This window comes from Homo sapiens, chromosome 1 (assembly GCF_000001405.40).
Source record: "Homo sapiens chromosome 1, GRCh38.p14 Primary Assembly".
Classification (NCBI taxonomy): Eukaryota; Metazoa; Chordata; class Mammalia; order Primates; family Hominidae; genus Homo; species Homo sapiens.
In genome coordinates, this window is record NC_000001.11 from 63,555,627 (window position 1) to 63,575,896 (window position 20,270).

At 36.4% G+C, this 20,270-nt stretch overlaps 1 protein-coding gene across 5 annotated transcripts in view, besides 3 other annotated features; it reads left to right on the forward strand.

Moving 5' to 3' along the window:
- EFCAB7 (EF-hand calcium binding domain 7) overlaps positions 1-20,270 on the forward strand; it is a 61,846-nt gene that overhangs the window by 32,102 nt on the left and 9,474 nt on the right. For 3 of the 5 annotated variants that reach the window (NM_032437.4, XM_006710977.2, XM_006710976.4), the window contains exons 10-14: positions 1,488-1,621; positions 6,083-6,231; positions 12,684-12,893; positions 15,395-15,502; positions 16,816-17,067. In NM_032437.4, the coding sequence (NP_115813.2) occupies positions 1,488-1,621; positions 6,083-6,231; positions 12,684-12,893; positions 15,395-15,502; positions 16,816-16,890 (676 nt within the window). In that variant the 3' untranslated portion in view covers positions 16,891-17,067. Of the gene's footprint in view, positions 1-1,487; positions 1,622-6,082; positions 6,232-12,683; positions 12,894-15,394; positions 15,503-16,815; positions 17,068-20,270 lie in introns of those variants that run through there. The other 2 variants (XM_011542301.3, XR_946779.4) reach the window with 2 other exon arrangements.
- Positions 17,047-17,641: an enhancer, noted in NCBI's record as "OCT4-NANOG-H3K27ac hESC enhancer chr1:64038344-64038938 (GRCh37/hg19 assembly coordinates)". NCBI's record gives its function as "activates a minimal SCP1, AML or CMV promoter by ChIP-STARR-seq in primed H9 embryonic stem cells {active_cell/tissue: H9 hESC(primed)}" and the evidence as "EXISTENCE:reporter gene assay evidence [ECO:0000049][PMID:30033119]".
- Positions 18,235-18,828: an enhancer, noted in NCBI's record as "OCT4-NANOG-H3K27ac-H3K4me1 hESC enhancer chr1:64039532-64040125 (GRCh37/hg19 assembly coordinates)". NCBI's record gives its function as "activates a minimal SCP1, AML or CMV promoter by ChIP-STARR-seq in naive H9 embryonic stem cells {active_cell/tissue: H9 hESC(naive)}" and the evidence as "EXISTENCE:reporter gene assay evidence [ECO:0000049][PMID:30033119]".
- Positions 18,829-19,421: an enhancer, noted in NCBI's record as "OCT4-NANOG-H3K27ac-H3K4me1 hESC enhancer chr1:64040126-64040718 (GRCh37/hg19 assembly coordinates)". NCBI's record gives its function as "activates a minimal SCP1, AML or CMV promoter by ChIP-STARR-seq in naive and primed H9 embryonic stem cells {active_cell/tissue: H9 hESC(naive and primed)}" and the evidence as "EXISTENCE:reporter gene assay evidence [ECO:0000049][PMID:30033119]".

The following is a 20,270-nucleotide window of genomic DNA, read 5'->3' on the forward strand; positions in this document are numbered from 1 at the left end:
CCAATTCAACTCTTGTGAACAACCTGTATGAACTTGGAGGATGTTCTGCTAAGTTAAATAAGCCAGGCACAGAAAGATAAATACTGCATGATCTCACTTATATGTGGGAACTTTTTTTTTTTTTAAATAGAGACAGAGTTTTGCTCTGTTACCCAGGCTGGAGTACACTGTCACAATCATTGCTCACTGAAGCCTCAGAATCCTGGGCTCAGGTGATCCTCCCAGCTCAGCCTCTTGAGTAGCAGTAGCTGGGATTACAGGGGCTTGCCAGCATGCCTGGCTAATTTTTTTAAAGAGATGGGAGTCTCGCTATGTTGCCCAGGGTGGTCTCAAACTCCTGGCCTCAAGCGAGCATCCTGCCTCAACCTTTCAAAGTGCTGGGATTATAGGTGTGAGCCACCACATCCAGCCTTATATGTGGGATCTTAAAAAGTCAAACCCATAGAAACAGAGAGTAGAAGAGTGGTTATAGCAGCTGGAAGTAGTGGGGGGGTTGGGGATATGTTGGTGAAAGGATACAAAATTTCAGTTTGATAAGAGGAATAAGTTCAGGAGATCTGTTGACAATATGGTGATTATAGTTATATATTGTATCCTTGAAAATTGCTAAGAGAATAGATATTAAATGTTCCCACTAGAAAAAAAGATGATAAATATATGAGATAATGGCTATGTTAATTAGCTTTAGTCATTTCACATTGTCTACATATATCAAAAAATCACATTGTACACCATAAATATATATATCAAAACAAAACAGCTCATTCTCTAGGCATCTGAAAATGTTCCTCCATTTGCAGATCTGGGATTTTCATTTACTTGTGGGTTCTACACATTTGGCAAGTCAACTTCAGTCAAACATCGACAATTTCTCCCTATTGGTAGAGAGGAAGAAGAAAGTAGATTGGAGAAAGGAAAAAAGAAGGGAACTACTACTATTCATTGAGTTCTTACTGTGTGTTGAGATACTGTGGTTGTTCTAGAAGCTTTTTTATCTCATGTAATACTGGACTGAGCCAAAACTGTATTTGGTTACATTAACTTTATAGTTTACAGAAATTGTGTAACGCTATATTACTTCCTTTTGAATGTTATCCTCATAGAACCCTTCTTCAGCCAGGCGCGGTGGTTCACGCCTGTAATCCCAGCACTTTGGGAGGCTGAGGCGGGCGGATCACGAGGTCAGGAGATCAAGACCATCCTGGCTAAAATTTTTAGTAGAGAAACCCCATCTCTACTAAAAATACAAAAAAAAAAAAAAATTAGCCAGGTGTGGTGGCGGGCGCCTATAGTCCCAGCTACTCGGGAGGCTGAGGCAGGAGAATGGCGTGAACCCAGGAGGCGGTGCTTGCAGTGAGCCGAGATCACGCCACTGCACTCCAGCCTGGGTGACAGAGTGAGACTCCGTCTCAAAAAAAAAAAAAAAACCCTTCTTCAGCGTAGTTGCCTTAGTGACAAGAAATAACTAGCTATTTTTATAATTTTAGGTCTACTTTATCAGATATATTTGAAGTAATTGATTTAGATGGAAATGGTCTTCTTAGCCTTGAAGAATATAATTTTTTTGAATTGAGAACAAGTGGTGAGAAATGTGATGAAGATGCTTGGGCTGTCTGCAGAGGTAAGCACTTTTCTTTTCCTTAACAGATGTATAAAAATATATATATAGCACCTTTTCATCTCTAAGAAATGAGAAGTCAAACTTCTGCATGAAATATTATTATAGCATTTAGGACAGTTTGAAAGTAGTATTGTTTGTAGATCATAAAAACTTAAACATTTATTTTTCTTAAACCGATAGTTGGTATAATACTCAAGTTAAAAGAAAGTGTGAATTACTTAATCATAATTTTAGTTTTGATTCTCTACTCTTCGGGGTTTAGAAGACAAAAAACTTGTCCTTGCGCTTGATACCACTGGGCCTGAAGTGGTCAAGAACCACAAACTGTGACCAGGAGAGGGCAGCAAAAAGCCAAAAAGCTAGAGTTTTACTCACAAATTAAGGTTTCCAGGAAGTTGCTTATATTATACATGTTAAACATTCTTCAGTGCTTTTCGTATTTGAGTTGAATTTAAAAAGTCCATTTATGGAAATATTGAAGCCAAAAATGCCAAGATGGACAAAGAAAATCACTGAGAATGAGGCAAAGTCAGTTATCACTTAGAAGGAGTCTGGGAAGACATACTTGCATATTTAAGCCAAAGACCCCAAGGTCGAGGGAAAACCAAAAAGCCATAGCCAACTATAGATCACAGAACAAGAGGTATGAGGAGACCAGAATTCAGTCAAGAGAGATTAACTCACGTATGCTTTCACTGGGATAGCTATATGTGGGTCTTAAAATGGTCTAAGCTTGGCAAAGTGAGCCAGGTTGGGAGTCTGTTTACCTAGACAGCAAGTAGGGTAGAGAAGTATATTATTTATATAAAGGAATCTTTCAGTATTTCTATTTTAGCTGAAAGTTAATATAATCAACAGCAATACATGTATATTGATTTATAATATTAAACTGTGATTAATAAAATTCATAATATACATAATAGAGTATTACCTATAGGAAGATGTAATTATCTTGTAACTTTAATGATATAATCTTTTAATTGGCACTAGAGAACATTCCATAAGAGTGAATTTGTGGCTTTCTGATGGTAAAGTTTGTGATAAGTAAAATTCTAATTTAAAATTTTAATTGAATTGGCAGAGTTGACGGTTAACATTTTTTGATAGCTTACCATCTACCATGTACCAGCTGCTGATCTATGCACTTCTACACACCAACTCTATGAAGTAGTACTTTATTATTCTCACTTTATAAATCAGGAAATAGAATTAGAGGTTAAGTAACCTGACCAAGGCTACACAGCAAGAAAGTTTCACAGATAGGCTCCAGAACTTTGAACTCAATGCTATCAAAAAGTCTCCAAGAGTTATTGACTTGAAAAATGATTTGGAGGAATGTCTACTTTACCAACATTAATAATATTGCAAAGAAATGAGAGCTTTTAAGGTTTTAATGTTTCCCCTGAATAATAAGAAAATGTACTGTTTATCTGTAAGATTATTTTAATAAACTTTTTTTACACTTAAAGATGCTTTATTTTTATTTTGTTTATTAATAAGCTTTATTTTGTTTATTTATTTATTTATTTTTTTGAGATGGAGTCTCACACTGTTGCCCAGGCTGGAGTGCAGTGGCGTGATCTCGGCTCACTGCAAGCACTGCCTCCTAATAAACTTTATTTTTAGAGCAATTTTAGGTTTACAGAAAAAACAGGCTGGGTGCTGTGGCTCATGCCTATAATCCTAGCACTCTGGAAGGCTAAGGCAGTAGGATTACTTGAGGCCAGGATTTCAAGACCAGCCTGGACAACAGAGCAAATTGTCTCTTAAAAAGAAAAAAAAAAAAAAATTGGCCTGTAATCCCAGCACTTTGGGAGGCTGAGGTGGGTGGATCACTTGAGGTCATTAATTCAAGACCAGCTTGGCCAACATGGTGAAACCCCACTTGTACTAAAAATACAAAAATTATCCAAGTGTGGTGGCAGGTACCTATAATCCCAGCTACTTGGGAGGCTGAGGCAGGAGAATCACTTGAGCTTGGGAGGTGGAGGTTGCAGTGAGCCAAAATCATGCTGCTGCACTCCAGCCTGGGTGACAGAGTGAGACTCTGTCTCAAAAAAAAAAAAAAAAAAAAAAAATAGAAATCTTCCATATATTCCTCCTCACCCACAAGTTTTCCCTATTATTAACATCTTGCATTTGTATGATACCTTTGTTACAATTGATGAGTGAATTATTGATACATAATCATTAACTAAAGTTCATAGTTTACATTAGGTTCAGTCTTTTTGTTTGTTTGTTTGAGTCACTGTTAGCCTAGGACGGAGTGTAGTGGTGCAATCTCAACTCACTGCAACCCCTGCCTCCAGGCTCAAGCGATCCTCTCACCTTAGCCTCCTGAGTAGCTAGGACTACAGGTGTGTGCCACCACACCTGGCTAATTTTTGTATTTTTTTGTTGAGATGAGTTTCACCATGTTGCCCAGGCTGGTCTCAAACCCCTGGAGGGTTCACTCTTGTCTTGTACAGTTCTATGGGTTTTGACAAATATGTAACATCATGTATCCACCATTACAATATCATTTACAAAGGACTATCCTTTCTCCATTGAATTGCCTTTGCTCCTTTGTCAAATATCAGTTGAATATATTTATGTCGGTCTATTTCTGGGCTCTCTATTCTGTTCCATTGATCTATTCATCATTATTTCACCATTACCACACTGTCTTGATTGCTGTGGCTTTATAGTAAGTCTTGGAGTCAAGTGTTAATAATTTTTTTTTTTTTGAGATGGAATCTTGCTCTGTTGCCTAGGCTGGAGGGCAGTGGCGTGATCTTGGCTCACTGCAAGCTTCACCTCCCGGGTTCACGCCATTCTGCCTCAGCCTCCCGAGTAGCTGGGACTACAGGTACCCGCCACCACGCCCGGCTAATTTTTTGTATTTTTAGTAGAGATGGGGTTTCACCATGTTAACCAGGATGGTCTCGATCTCCTGACCTCATGATCTGCCCGCCTCAGCCTCCCAAAGTGCTGGGATTACAGGCGTGAGCCACTGCGCCTGGCCCAAGTGTTAATTTTTTAAAAATTAATGAGGATTGAGAATTTTAAGTTTTAAAAAGTAGATTCGTTTTTGATAGTCTCTATAGTACAGTATCTAGATAGGTTTCTTAATGTATTTGTATTATATGTCAAATATTTTTTTCATCGTTTCTACATAGTAGCTCTAACCTCGATTTTTGTGGCTACCATTTCTCTTCATGATTGAATTTAATCTGCATTTATTTTTTCCCCTTGAAAAAGTTATGAATAACTTTAAACTCTTAACTTTTTTTTTTTTTTTTTTTTTTGAGACTGAGTCTCACTCTGTCACCCAGGCTGTAGTACAGTGGCACGATCTCAGCTCACTGCAACCTCCGCCTCCCAGGTTCAAGTGATTCTCTGCCTCAGCCTCCCAAGTGGCTGGGACTACAGGTGCATGCCAGCATGCCGGGCTAATTTTATTTTTTGTATTTTTAGTAGAGATGGGGTTTCACCATGTTGGCCAGGCTGGTCTTGAACTCCTGAGCTCAGGCTATCCACCTGCCTTGGCCTCCCAAAGTGCTGGGATTACAGGCGTGAGCCACCGTGCCCGGCTTCTAAATGTTTTAAGCTATTAATCAGTCAACCGGTTTTACACAGTTATGTCTCTGCTGCTTTTCTCACAATAATGCACACAAAAGAGATGCCATCTCAAATAAGACTACCCATTTCCCTTGGATATATTATAGATGGAAGTTAGGAAATAAAATCTTCCCTGTTGTAGGATAGCTAACAAAATATCCATAATAAATAACGACTTATTATCCATGTTACAGACAAATTCAGGAATTATGCATGTCTAGATACTTCTAGGTAAATTTAGTTTTGCTCATAAATAGTGTTAAAACAGGCATAGACTTACCTGGGAAAATGTAGTTGATTCATGGATTCCAAAGTGCTCCCCATTATCTGTCAGTCTTTCAAGACTTGGGGACAATTTAGCTAAAATTAGAGGAATCAGGCATATAGTAATCTCCTTAAATATGACACTATTCCCGTTTTTCTTTCTGAAACTCAGTAGTTTGGGGAGTATTATATCAAATTCATCCAGTTTCTGCTGGCTTTAAGTGGCAAATACATATGAAGCATTTTAATTCTTTGAAATATATAACAACGTATGCTCTAAATAACCAGGCAGATTGGAATTTACCCAGAAATATTACAGTTTCCTCTAATTTTAGAATATATTTGCACTATTTATAACTTTAGGATTTTTTGAAAAATGAAATTGTGTACTACGATATATCTATGCTGAGTTATGGGAAACTAGAAGAATAGCTCTCAATAATGTTTTGAGCCATTTTTATTCCACTTTTATCCTGCTCATAGATTCATAGGCCTCTTTTAAAATAAATATCTATGAATAATAATATATCATAGACATTTTATTAAAGTTATGAATTTTTAAATTATGTAAGAAAAAACTTTTGGTTGTTTAAACAGAGAATTTTGATACAAAGAGGAATGAACTAACAAGACAAGGATTTATGGATTTGAATCTAATGGAAGCTAATGATCGAGAAGGAGATCCTTGTGACCTTTGGGTAACTCTACACTCTATGGGCTACAATAAAGCTCTGGAGTTGACAGAGGTAAAGTATTCTTAAACTTTTGCCAATGGGTTTAATGTACATAATATTTTACTTTATGAACATTTTCCTGACATATAACTTTCGAATTGGGCACCCAAATCTTTGAACTTTAGTATATGAATGAATCCTGGGTGCAACAACATGTTTCTGTTAGTTTATACAAGTTCTTGTTCTCACCTGAAATTTAGTTACTGCCAACATTAAAATAATTCAAAGACAAAAGAGTCTAAGCATATAATATGCAGGAAAAAAATTTGGTATTAAAAAAATTAAAATTGGAAAAGGCAGTTTGAGTTACTAAAGTCTCATTTCTATAGGGAAACACTTTGTCTTAACAGTTTAAAGGCTCTCTTAGAATAAGGAGACTGTGTCTGCATTAGAACTTGGATTTCTGGTCTTTTTATAAAGGGTACTTTTGGGGTTAATACTTGTAAAACACTTGGAACAGTGGCTGGCTCATACAAAGCATTGTGTATGTATCAGCTATTATCATCATTATTATCATTAACATGATAGGTATAGAAGTTGAACAGGGCTCGTAATAAACCATAGGGGTAATAAAAATTTAAAAATTAGGCCTTCTTAATTTATTTATATATATATATATATATATATATATATATATATATATATATATAAAACTTTTTTTTTTTTTAATTTGAGACAAGGTCTTACTCTGTCACCCTGGCTGGAGTGCAGTGGCACAATCATAGCTCACTGCAGCTTCAACCTCCTGGGCTCAAGTAAGCCTCCTGCCTCAGCCTCCTGAGTAGCTAGGACTACAGGTGCATGCCCCCACGCCCAGCTAATTTTTTAACTTTTTTTTTTTTTGTAGAGATGGGGGTCTCACTGTTTTACCCAGGCTAATTTCTATATTTTATGTCAGATTTAAAATATAGAATTTAAGAGTTTCAGTTTCAGGCCACAAGTTACATAACAGTACATTTGTTTATACTCTTAAAATTAAAAATAGTATTTGTCCTTTTTCCATACTTGAATCAACTTAGGAGGGCAATACTAACTTTGACAAATTTTATTTTAGATACATTTAGACTTTGGTTTAATTCCTAGTTTTGACATCATTCAAAACCTTCATTAACCTGTTTGGTGAGAGGTTCTCTATTCTTTCCCCATTTTTAGAAATAGGAGGTGAATAGTTATGGTAACTATTTATATCCTACTTGAGCCTAACAGTCAGTGACTCCCACATTTTAACCATGTGTAAAATCAGCATCTAATCTAGGAACAATATTGATTGTGCTACCCATGTTGTTGCTTATTAGGGAAATTAGTTAAGAGCAATTTAAGACTTTTTACCACAGTTACTGATGTCATTTACCTTTGAAACTATAAGCAAGAAGGATTTCTGAGCTAACATTTAATTTAATTTAAATTTCATTTATTTATTGAGTAGGTTATTTGTATCATTTAAATTCAAAAGGTAAAAAAAATACAGTATACATTGGAAAGTATCAATAGATGATGAGACTGCCACTCAGTAACTGAAATAAAAAGACAAAGCTGAATTGATTGCTTACTATAAAGGAGAGCTATGCTGATCAGGCACAGTCTCTCGGCTAAGAGCAGAATGCTCATTTATATAGGGTTTTGGGGAGGTATGGAATTCAAGGATTGCCTGGCTTTTAGAGGCATAAATGAGTTAATACTATCTGGGGAAGCATGGTTACTTGGATGAGACTGTTGATTGGTTGGCACTAAGCAGTGTATTTACTGATGTGAATCCATCTCTGATTGCCTGACTTTCAAAACTGAGGAGCTGACACTGGTTGCCTAACATAAGTGTGTTAATTGAAGTGGAGCTGTTCCTCATCAGTTGAACAGATTTAAAATCTTTTTTCTTACTAAATTTCTTTATTGTTTCTTATTAAATTCTTATTACTTATTTCTTTATTTTTCCTTATTAAATTCTCTAATTTAGGCTGTAGAATTACTGATTACACATTCCCTGTATCAGCCTATGAAGATCCTCTGTTAAAGAGCAATATAACTTCTTTATAAGGGCATTGCCCCTATATACTGTAATTGAATAGTTGCTCTTTTACTGAATTTGAGAAGTGAAACTTACATGTTTAGTTTTGCCCCCCTTTTTTTTCTGTTTTCCTTTTTAAAATAGAATTTCATGATATTAATTTCTTTCTAGATTCAGAACTGGGAAAATTTACTTTCTTTTTTAGAGTTTAAGCACTACATAACTTTTTATTTCCCTTTTGTATATGTTAACAGGTAGTTGAGAGCTAAATATTGTGCTAAATTTAAGTAACATCCCATAATCTAGGTTTTATTATTGCAGTCTTCCCCGTCTTCCTTATCACATATATTGTTAATAATTTTACAATGAATAATTTACAGTTAATAGTTTTCTTGCTTGTTGTTTGCTTCCTATATTAAGTTAGTAGGATAAAGAAAATAAGTAAATAAAAGATCAAGCCCATGAAAAGAAAAAATAAAACTATAGGGCAGTTCTTTTAGATGTGATAAGATTTTAATTTAAAAATTTTAGAATGTGCAAAAATCACTAGTATTCCTATACACCAACAATAGTCAAGTCAAGAGCCAATTCACGAAAGAACTCCCATTCATAATTGCCACAAAAAGAATAAAACACCTAGGAGTACAGTGAACAAGGGAGGCCAGCAATCTCTACAAGGAGAACTACAAACTACTGCTCAAAGAAATCAGAGATGACACAAACAAATGGAAAAACATTTGATGCTCATGGATAGGAAGAATCAATATCGTTAAAATGGTCATACTGCCCAAAGCAATTTATAGATTCAATGATATTCCCACTAAACTACCATTGGCATTCTTTACAGAACTAGAAAAAAAATTTTAAAATTCATATGGAACCAAAAAAAAGAGCCCGAATAGCCAAGGCAATCCTACGCAAAAAGAACAAAGCTGGAGGCATCATGCTACCTAATTTCAAACTATACTACAGGGCTACAGTAACCAAAACAGCATGGTACTGGTACAAGAACAAACATATAGACCAATGGAACAGAATAGAGCACTCAGAAATAAGACTGCACACCTACACCTGTTTGATCTTTGACAAATCTGACAAAAACAAATAATGGGAAAAGGATTCTCTATTCAATAAATGGTTGCTGGGATAACTGGCTAGCCATATGCAGAAGATTGAAACTGGACCCCTTCCTTACACCATATACAAAAATTAACTAGGGCTGGGTGTGATGGCTCACGCCTGTAATCCCAGCACTTTGGGAGGCTGAGGCGGGTGGATCACAAGGTCAGGAGATCAAGACATCCTGGCTAACATCCTGGCTTCATCCTGGTGAAACCCCGTCTGTACTAAAAATACAAAAAATTAGCTGGGCATGGTGGCAGGTGCCTGTAGTCCCAGCTACTCGGGAGGCTGAGGCAGGAGAATGGTGTGAACCCGGGAGACAGAGCTTGCAGTGAGCCAAGATGGCATCACTGCACTCCAGCCTGGGCGAGAGTGCGAGACTCCGTCTCAAAAAAAAAAACAACAACAACAAAAAAATTTTAAGATAAAGACTGAAATGTAAAACCCAAAAGTGTAAAAACTCTGAGAGACAACCTAGGCAATACCATTCAAGATATAGGCATGGGGAAAGATTTCATGGTGAAGATGCCACAAGCAATTGCAACAAAAGCAAAAATTGATAAATGGGATCTAATTAAAGAGCTTCTGTGCAGCAAAAGAAACTATCAACAAAGTAAACAGACAACCTACAGAATGGGAGAAAATTGTTGCAAACTATGCATCTGACAAAGGTCTAATATCCAATATCTATAAGTAACTTAAATTTACAAGAAAAAAATTCCATTAAAAATGGGCAAATGAACAGACGCTTTAAAAGAAGATATACCTGCAGCCAACAATCATATGAAAAAAAGTTCGACATCACTGATCATTAGAGAAATGCAAATCAAAACCACATTTCACACCTGTCCAAATGGCTATTATTAAAAAGTCAAAAAATAAAAGATGCTGTTGAGATTGTGGAGAAAAAGGAATGCTTATACACTGTTGGTGGGAGTGTACATGAGTTCAACCATTGTGGAAGACAGTATGGTGATTCCTCAAAGACCTAAAGACAAATACCATTCAATCCAGCAATCCTATTACTGGATATACACCTAAAGGAATGTAAATTGTTTTATAAAGACACATACACATGTATGTTCATTGCAGCACTATTCACAGTAGCAAAGACATGGAATTAACCTAAATGCCCATCAGTGGAAAACAGGATAAAGAAAAAGTGGTAAATATACACCATGGGATACTATACAGCCATAAAAAAGAATGAGGTCATGTCCTTTGCAGGGACATGGATGGAGCTGGAAGCCATTATCCTTAGCAAACTAATGCAGGAACTGAAAACCAAATGCCACATGTTCTCATTTATAAGCGGGAGCTAAATGATGAGAACACATGGACACATAAAGGGGAACAACACACACTAGAGCCTATCAGAGGGTGAAGAGTACGAGGAGGGAGAGGATCAGGAAAAATAACGAATGGGTACTGGGCTTACTACCTGGGTGATGAAATAATCTTACAACAAACTCCTATGACACACGTTTACCTGTGTAACAAATCTGCACATGTACCCCTGAACTTAAAAGTGTAAAAAAAAAGAAAAAAAATTAGAGAATATGTTTTAACATGGACCTTTTAAGATGTTTTGCTTTCAGTGAATATTCAAATATTGATCCTCTTTGGTTGAATAAAACTGATAATCATGACTTAAAAAATGGCAGAATATTACCAGAATTTACCAGTACTGAACAAATAAACCTTTAAAAATGCCATACTCATAATTATTATAAATAATCTTTAAAAATTTTTACAAAGGTGATGTGTATGAAAAATAAACCCAGGTCTTCTACTTTTTAGTCCAATGATTTTTCATTCTACTATTTCTCTTAAAAAGGCAAATTTATTATTGCCAAAGGTTGAAGTGATTAAAATATTTTTATTATACAAATATTTTATAATTATTTTATTTTATATTTATTTATTTTATATTATTAAAATATTTTTTAAAACACAAATTTCTGTTTATAGTCTACTAAAATTAACTTCAGACTTCTTTCTTTTATTTTCTTAAAAGATGACCACCAATTTGTGAATTTATTCAGTTATTCAACAAATACTTATTGAATACCTACTATGTGATAACTGCAGGAAAGAGGCACTGAGGATACAAAGATGAATAAAATAGTCAAAGTTCCTGCCCTTATGAAATTTATATTTCATGAAGGAGAATGATTAATTAATTAAAATAAAATTATATCGGCCAGGTGCAGTGGCTCACGCCTGTAATCCCAGCACTTTGGGAGGCCAAGGCAGGTAGATCACCTGAGTTCAGGAGTTCAAGACCAGTGTGGTCAACATGGTGAAACCTTGTCTCTACTAAAAATACAAAACTTAGCTGGGTGTGGTGGTGGTCACCTGTAATCGCAGCTACTTGGGAGGCTGAGGCAGGAGAATCACTTGAACCCGGGAAGCAGAAGTTGCAGTGAACTGAGATCACCCAACTGCACTCCAGCCTGGGCGACAAGAGCAAAACTCCATCTCCAAAAAAAAAAAATTATTTCAAAGGTGTTTTGAAACAACTCAAAGGCTGAAGTAGAGAACAGAGAACAGTGGGGGAGTGAGGGAGATTGGGGGGCCAGAGCAGATCCCTCTGCAGAGGTGGCACTTAAGCTTTAACCTGAAGCAGGAAGACAAGGTACCTATGTGAAAATACATAAGGATAATCTTCCCAGTGGAGAGAACACTACGTATGAAGGGCTTCATTTGCTCTAGGATCTGAAAGATCAGGATAGCTGTTGCATAGAGACACAGGAGACCAGGTTGGATGGAGAGGCAAAGGCTCTTTACCACATTGGCTTTTTACCACATTGTAGGCTGTGGTAAAAAGACTAAGGTAGATATTAGAAAAATTTCATTCGGAATGCAGAAAATATTTTTAAGTCTCATATTTTAAAGGTGTTTTTAGACTAAACGTTTAGTCAGTGCTCTGTATCCATGCAGTAAGCTTCAATTGTAAATGTAATAATTTCTGTAGAAACCTTTGATGAATTCTTTCTGTAACCCTCACTTTAGAAAAGAAAATTAAATAACATGGTATTTGTTAGCATTGAACCAAATGAAGAGATGGTATTATGGTTTAAAGAAGGTGGTATATTACTGATTTGCTAGAGGTTATTATTTTCTTTTATTTTCTATGAACATTATCAGTTAATATGCTACCAAAAAGTCAGGATTTCATGCTTGCTTATTACTCAATTCATAGTACTAAAATTTTCCTCTAAAAGTTTATTAGAAGGACAAGCTAGAAGGTATAGCATATCTTCTTATATGGTAACATATTAATAATTTATTTAAAATTCTATCAAAAGGCTGAAACAAGATTTTTTTTTCCTATCAGGCATGTCCATTTGTCATTGATATCTATGCAGAAAAATGCAAGCCAAAAATTAAAGCTGTCCATATGGAGGCATGTAGTGGACAACTTGAGAAGGCCATTTGTAAATCTGTTCTTAGCAACGGTGATGCCAAAGTAATGGATGGCTATGAAAATATAATCGTGCATACTTACAGTTGTGACACCTGGATAACGTCAGTTATTGAAAACAAGGTATCAATTATGAGGTGGTTTTCCTCATTTTGCTACAAAGCTTACTAATATATTTCATCTTATTCCTTACTCTATTCGTATGTGGTAATTAAGTATCCCATCACATTAATAATGTTTATAATGCATAATTATTTTTTCTCCTCAGGTTTCTAACTCAAACTGGGAGTGGTAATTTTTATATGATTTTTAAAGGTTTCCAATTTTTTCTCTTAAAATATTAGGAAAATTAAACATTTGGATATTAGTGAATATAGAGCACAATCTGGGTACAAAGTATTTTATTTAGTTTGTTTCTAAAAGTTTTTATGTATACATAGCTATTTTAATAATAGATATCATGTTTTAAAGAAATATTATAAGCAAAGGAAAAATTTCAACCCAGCGTTTTACACTAACGTTGCAGAGATCCTATAAATTATTATTATTTAATATAACTAAATGTATTCTACTGTCCCAAGACCTGCTTTCATCAAGCTGATTATTTCTACCTTTGGCTCTCTTCCCTGCTATTAATACTATTGATATTACAGGTCAAGAGAATACGAGCATAAATTCTTAGTCAGAAATATCCAGTTCTCTAGAAATTATAAATTTTCATAAAACTTTATATAAGATGGCTAGGTGCTCAGTACTGTTGACTTATTTCTTTTAGGTCCTACGTGAGACATATTTTTATGCCTGCCATAAATTTCTTAAAATACTTAAGATGTGGCAGCGTTTTTAGTCAACCTGAGAATATATTATGTAACTATTTTAGTCACAATAGGAGCAACCAGAAAGTGTAAAACTTGATCTCTGCGTTCAAGGAGTTTATGGGCTATAATTGGAAAGACAAAATTAATACTCTTGAAAGACATCAGAGAATAATTAAACGTTACATAATGTAGTACTGTTTGTGTGTGCAATAGGGGTTTTATTCTGTTTCTCTTGTAGTTGTTGTTAATTTGGACCATAGAGGTTGGGGAAGGATTTGTTACGAGGGGCAAGGGAACTGTGATATGGGATTTGAGCACTGAAGGATGACTAGGATTTAGATATGCAGACAGACAGCCTTTAGAAGCAGGGGAAACAGTGTAAGGCGAAACAAGGCGAAGGGTATATATGAAGTATAAAGGAAAGAGTGAGAATATCTGCTTTGCAGCAATAGACAGCTTTATTTGGAGGAGGATTAGGAGGTAAATAACATACAGAATGGATCCAAATTATATATGTTATCTTGAAAACGAGATAGAGGAGTTTAGACTTGATTAACTAAGCTTGGGTCCCCACCTAGTAGATTGCAGTTTTCAAATGGACCAATCATGCCTCAGAGGGTGATTCCTAAGATGCATCATGGTTCCCTTTCTGCCCTCTATGTTTTATTAGGGTTAAAAAGGTGAAGGGAGTTACTACGTTACCCCAACCCCTCTGTTCTGCTACCACCTATTAGTTCTCAATTCTCTGCCTCCTTTTTCCTCAAGGAAAATTCAACTCTCTTCACCAAAATGTGATAATAATGTGAACATTTTAGACCTTATTGTTTGCCAGGCATTTACATATATTAGAGCATTTACTTCTCACAACAACCCTATGACATAAGTGCTATTCTCATTTTACAAACAGGAAACTGAAGCACAGAGCAGTTAAATAACTTGCAAATGATTACACAGCTAAGTAGTAGAAGAGTTGACAAATAAATTCAGGTAGTCTAACATTATACTACCCCCTTTATAGTCATTAGGGTATGATCGCAGATTCTTAGTAGGGGAATATTTTTATTCCTGCATTTTCTCCATTTATCAGTGTCATTCTGCTTTCCCTTGCTCCCTATCCATCCTAGAGGCCATTGTCTTTTATCTCAGTTGTCACTTCTTCCATAAAGTCTTTCTTGAAACCCCAGTCCGAGCTAATGTTCATCTTCTGTGTTTCTATAGATCCTTCTAAATACCTCTGTTACAAGACTCAGCAAAGTGTTTTGTAATTGTCATTTTATTTGTCTGTCTCCCCTAGAGTGTGAGCTAGGAGTCAGTAATTCTATCTTTTATCTCAGTGCACCTAGACCCTAAAACAATGCCTGATACAAAGTTGATAATAAATATATTTGTTTATATATTGTCAATGAAGGAGTAAAAAGATGTTTTAGACATATTAGTTGGAAGGTAGTATTAAAATGAATGGAAGTTGAAAAAACTAGAGATAACAACAAAAGAAATAGACACTATTGCTATCATAAGTCAAGGATGAAATAATGTGACCCTAGTGTCCATAATACCCTGGGAATGAAGATTAAAAGGTAAGTAAGTTTAAGTCACATTTAAAAGAAAAAGTTTATATAAATGGTGACAGATTGGAAAGAAAATCAATGAGAAAAAGTAACAAAGTTGAAAGAAGTAGCCAATTTGTATGAATTTGTAGTGCACTATATGATGTTAAAACAGAATTTCAGGGTTTATTCTGAGGCTTATATTTGTCTGTAATTATTAAAGAAAGGAATAGCAGCTTATGAAATCTTTTTTTAATAGTCAGATGAGAAAGTGATTATTCACATCAGCAATGAGCTAAGTAAAAACTGCATAAACAACAGAGGACTCAACATATTTGCAGTAGAAGTGGGACCCAAATCTACAATGGTAATGTATTATTTTCTAATTAAAGCCTTTTGTTTTATGTCTTTGAAAAAAATTTGCTATTAATGCTATGAGTAAAATGTAAATATAAAATGGAGTGGAAAATTATTTTAAGTATGATATTTGTATCAGTATCATTCTATACTCAGAGACAGGAGACTTTGGTTCTAATCCAGTTCTGTCACTGTTTGGTTGAGTGACTATGGGAAGTTCATTTATTTCTATGTTCCAGTCTCTCTAAATGTAAAATTAAGATAATATCACTAGGCCGGGCACGGTGGCTCACGCCTGTAATCCCAGCACTTTGGGAGGCCGAGGTGGGTGGATCACCTGAGGTCAGGAGTTCAAGACCAGCCTAGCCAACATGGTGAAACCCCATCTCTACAAAAATACAAAAATTAGCCGGACATGGTGGCAGACGCCTGTAATTCCAGCTACTCGGGAGGCTGAGGCAGGAGAATCTGAACCTGGGAGGTGGAGGTTGCAGTGAGCTGAGATCACGCCATTGCACTCCAGCCTGAGCGACAAGAGTGAGACTCTGTCTCAAAAAAAAAAAAAAAAAAAAAAAAAGATAATATCACTAGTTTTATGTACTTCACAAAGTTAAAGTAAGGATAAAAATAAAATGATGTATGTACATGAAAGTACTTTTTACATCATATAGAAATGTAAAGTATTAATAGTAACAATAATTTTGATAACCCAAAATGCTTTTATCTGCATTATTAAGATTTTCTAAAGTATCCTGAGAGGGACAATGCCTCTGAGTTTTAAATAAGCAAGTAAGTCAAGAGCTAGAAAAAGCTGTAGTTCTGGTGTTAGCAGAACTCTGGGTTTCTGATTTAGCCAGGGGTTCAAAGGCAGGGACAGATCAATAGAGCTACCTACTGGGCAAGTGAAGGGAGAAAGGAAAAAGCTTCCTATTCTTACCCTTTCTTTCTCCATACTGTCCATAAAATCCTAAAACATTCCAGAACAGGATAAAGAGATTATCTTTTCTGTTTCTCCAATTAAGATTTTAGAAAACGCTCTAGGTTTAGCAAGGAAAGGATATTTTCTCCTCTTTCCACCACTCTTCTTTACCCACATTCACACACACCAACTGACAGCTACTATGTTAGGGTAGAATTTAGACTGGATTATCCTGTTAGACCTCAGATCATAGATTGCTAGTCTCTGCTAAGGACAAATATTGTAGAATTTTATCTGTACAGGGATATTCTTATACAAGGCCTAGAAATGTTGTCCTGTTTAAAAATTAGCCAAAAGTAACAATATATAAAAAGAGAGTAAAAGCTTTCTATTTTTATGTGCAGGTTTGTCAACATGTAATGCCTTTGAATGAACGACAAGAATGGATATATTATTGTATATATTCTCTTATTTCTTAAATAATTATACTTAGAACTTACCAAACTAAGAATTATTTCAGATTTAGTCTGTTATTTATTAAACAACTAAATGCTACTTAACTGATGTACCTAAATAATAATCTATTCAATTTATATGCATTTTCATTTTATGTCCATGGTATGTACTTTATTATTAAAATATAAATAATGCTTTCATTGTGTGGTGTTCTTATTTAGTAGGAAATCTTTTTCTTTTTTTTTTTCTCAGCAATAAGGCTGTTTATTTCACCTGGGTGCAGGTGGGCTGAGTCCGAAAAGAGAGTCAGCAAAGGGAGATAGGGGTGGGGCCATTTTATAGGACGTGGGTAGGTAAAGGAAAATTACAGTCAAAGGGGTTTGTTCTCTGGCGGGCAGGGGCGGGAGTCACAAGGTGCTCAGTGGGGGAGCTTTTGAGCCAGGAGAAGGAATTTCACAAGGTAATGTCATCAGTTAAGGCAGGAACAGGCCATTTTCACTTCTTTTGTGGTGGAATGTCATCAGTTAAGGCAGGAACCGGCCATCTCGATGTGTACGTGCAGGTCACGGGGGATATGATGGCTTAGCTTGGGCTCAGAGGCCTGACATTCCTGTCTTCTTATATTAATAAGAAAAATAAAACAAAATAGTGTTGAAGTGTTGGGGCGGCGAAAATTTTTGGGGGTGGTATGGAGAGATAATGCCGGGTGATATTTCTCAGGGCTGCTTCGAGTGGGATTAGGGGTGGCGTGGGAACCTAGAGTGGGAGAGATTAAGCTGAAGGAAGATTTTATGGTAAGGGGTGATATTGTGGGGTTGTTAGAAGAAACATTTGTCTTATAGAATTATTGCTGATGGCCTGGATACAGTTCTGTATGAATTGAAAAACTAAACGGAATAAGAGAAGGAGAAAAACAGGTATTAAAGGACTAAGAATTGGGAGGACCCAGGACATCCAATTAGAGAGTGCCCAAGGAGGTTCAGCATAGCCCAGCCAGCAAAGATTATTTGTTTACTTTAAGAGGGAGTTAAGAGTGGCCGTTTGGGGATAGCACCAGGAGACATCAGCTGTGATGGCTTGGAGAAACTGTGTAAACCGGCAGTGTAAACAAGAGTAGGGCATTTATGAGTAGAGAACGGTGAATAGGAGTATGACTAGACAGAAGACAGTAGGGATGACAAGTTTTTTGGGGCACAGTCCAAGTTGGTCTGGTGTCTGGAATGAGACTGAGGCCTACTAAAAAGGAGCATCCATACAGGAGCTCAAATGGGCTGTACCCTGTAGCATTCCCAGGACAGGCCTGAATTCTGAGAAGGGAAAGTGGTAAAAGGATTGTCCAGTCCTTTTTAAGTTGGTGGCTGAGCTTGGTGAGGTGTTTTTTAAAAGACCATCAGTTTGCTGAATACCAAGAGCCTGAGAAACTGCTTGGGTGATTTGACTAATAAAGGCCGGTCAGTTATCGGATTGTATAGAGGTGGGAAGGCCAAACCAAGGAATTATGTCTGACAGAAGCGAAGAAATGACCGCGGTGGCCTTCTTAGACCCTGTGGGAAAGGCCTCTACCCATCCAATGAAAGTGTCTACCCCGACCAAGAGGTATTTTAGTTTCCTGACTGGAGGCATGTGAGTAAAGTCAATTTGCCAGTCCTGGGCTGGGGCAAATCCCCGAGCTTGATGTGTAGGGAAGGGAGGGGGCCTGAACAATCCCTGAGAGGTAGTAGAATTGCAGCTGGAACACTGAGAAGTGATTTCCTTGAGGGTAGAGTCCCATGATGGAAAGGAAATGAGAGGTTCTATGAGGCAGGCTTAATGGCTTGTAACCTACATGGAAGAGGTTATGAAATGATGACAGAATAGAATGGGCTTGTGAGACTGGAAGGAGGTATTTTCTTTGGTCCAAGAACCACTTGCCTTGTGTGGGAAGAGATAGGTGGAAGTTTCAGTGAGGGAGTAGGTGGGAGTAGCCAGATGAGAAGGAAGAAAACTGCCATGAGGGATAGAAATTGGAACACTAGCTGCTTTTTTTAGCTATCTTATCAGCATAAGCATTGTCCTGAGCAATGGGATCTGATGCCTTTTGATGGCTGCTTTTTTAGCTACCTTATCAGCATAAGCATTGTCTTGAGCGATGGGATCTGATGCCTTTTGATGGCCTTTGCAGTGAATGACTCCAGCTTCCTTTGGAAGTAAAGCGGCTTTGAGAAGAGTTTTTGTTAAAGAGGCATTAATGATGGAGGACCCTTGCATAGTGAGGAAATTTCTTTCTGCCCATATAACAGCATGGTGGTGCAAGATATGGAAGGCATATTTACAGTCAGTATAAATATTGACGCGTAGTCCTTTTGCGAGAGCGAGGTCTCGAGTTAAGGCAGTGAGTTCAGCTTGCTGAGAGGTAGTGGAGCGGGGCAGAAAGTATATACTATATTCTCTCTTGGAAGGATAGTTGGATAAAATGAGTGGAAAATTAAAATGAATTTACATGTATGAATATTTCTGAATTCTTTAGCATATTTATAAATTAAAACTAGAAATATAAAAATTAAGTCTCATTACTATTCAGTTCTGTTTACCCAGATGTTTTTATTTCATTAGCAAATTAAAAAAACTAATTATCTAACATGCAGTTTTAAATTATAGACTTACATGATCACTGTAACTCCTTCCAACTTTAAAGTTTTATAGTTCTAATATTTTAAAACAAATTTAAAGTTTAAGTATCAAGTACTGTTATATATATATGAGTCATGACATATTCTTAAATTACTATATTTAGTAATTTTATTGATTTTATATTAGATATTGGGGTAGACTTTTTTTTAAAAAAGTCAGTGGCCTTTTAAAATCTTTTTGGTTTAGGTTAAATATGAAGCAGAAACTTAATATATTATATACTACACTAATATTTTGGATATAATCCAAGAAAATGGATGTGTATTTCCCATTTTGGCCACCAGAGGGTGAGCATATTATTTTATTTATTAGAGAGATGGATAGTATTATATTTCTCTGCACTGTGTTAGGTCCTTTATGACTTCTAAGACTGCTTTTGGCAAACTGTATTGGACACTATGGCTATATGCATATTCAGGCATATAACACCCATTTTTTTTGAGACAGAGTCTTGCTCTGTCACTCAGGCTGGACTGCAGTGGTGCTCTCAGCTCACTGCAGCCTTGTTTTTCTGGGCTCAGGTGATTCTTCCATCTCAGCCTTCCGAGTAGCTGGTACTACAGGCATACGCTACCACACCCAGCTCGTTTTCATATTTTTTTTTTGTAGAGGTGGGGTTTTGCCATGTTGCCCAGGCTGCTCTAAAATTCCTGGGGTCAAGCGATTTGGTGCCTTGGCCTCTCAAAGTGCTGAGATTACAGGCATGAGACACTGCCCCCAGCCAACACCCATT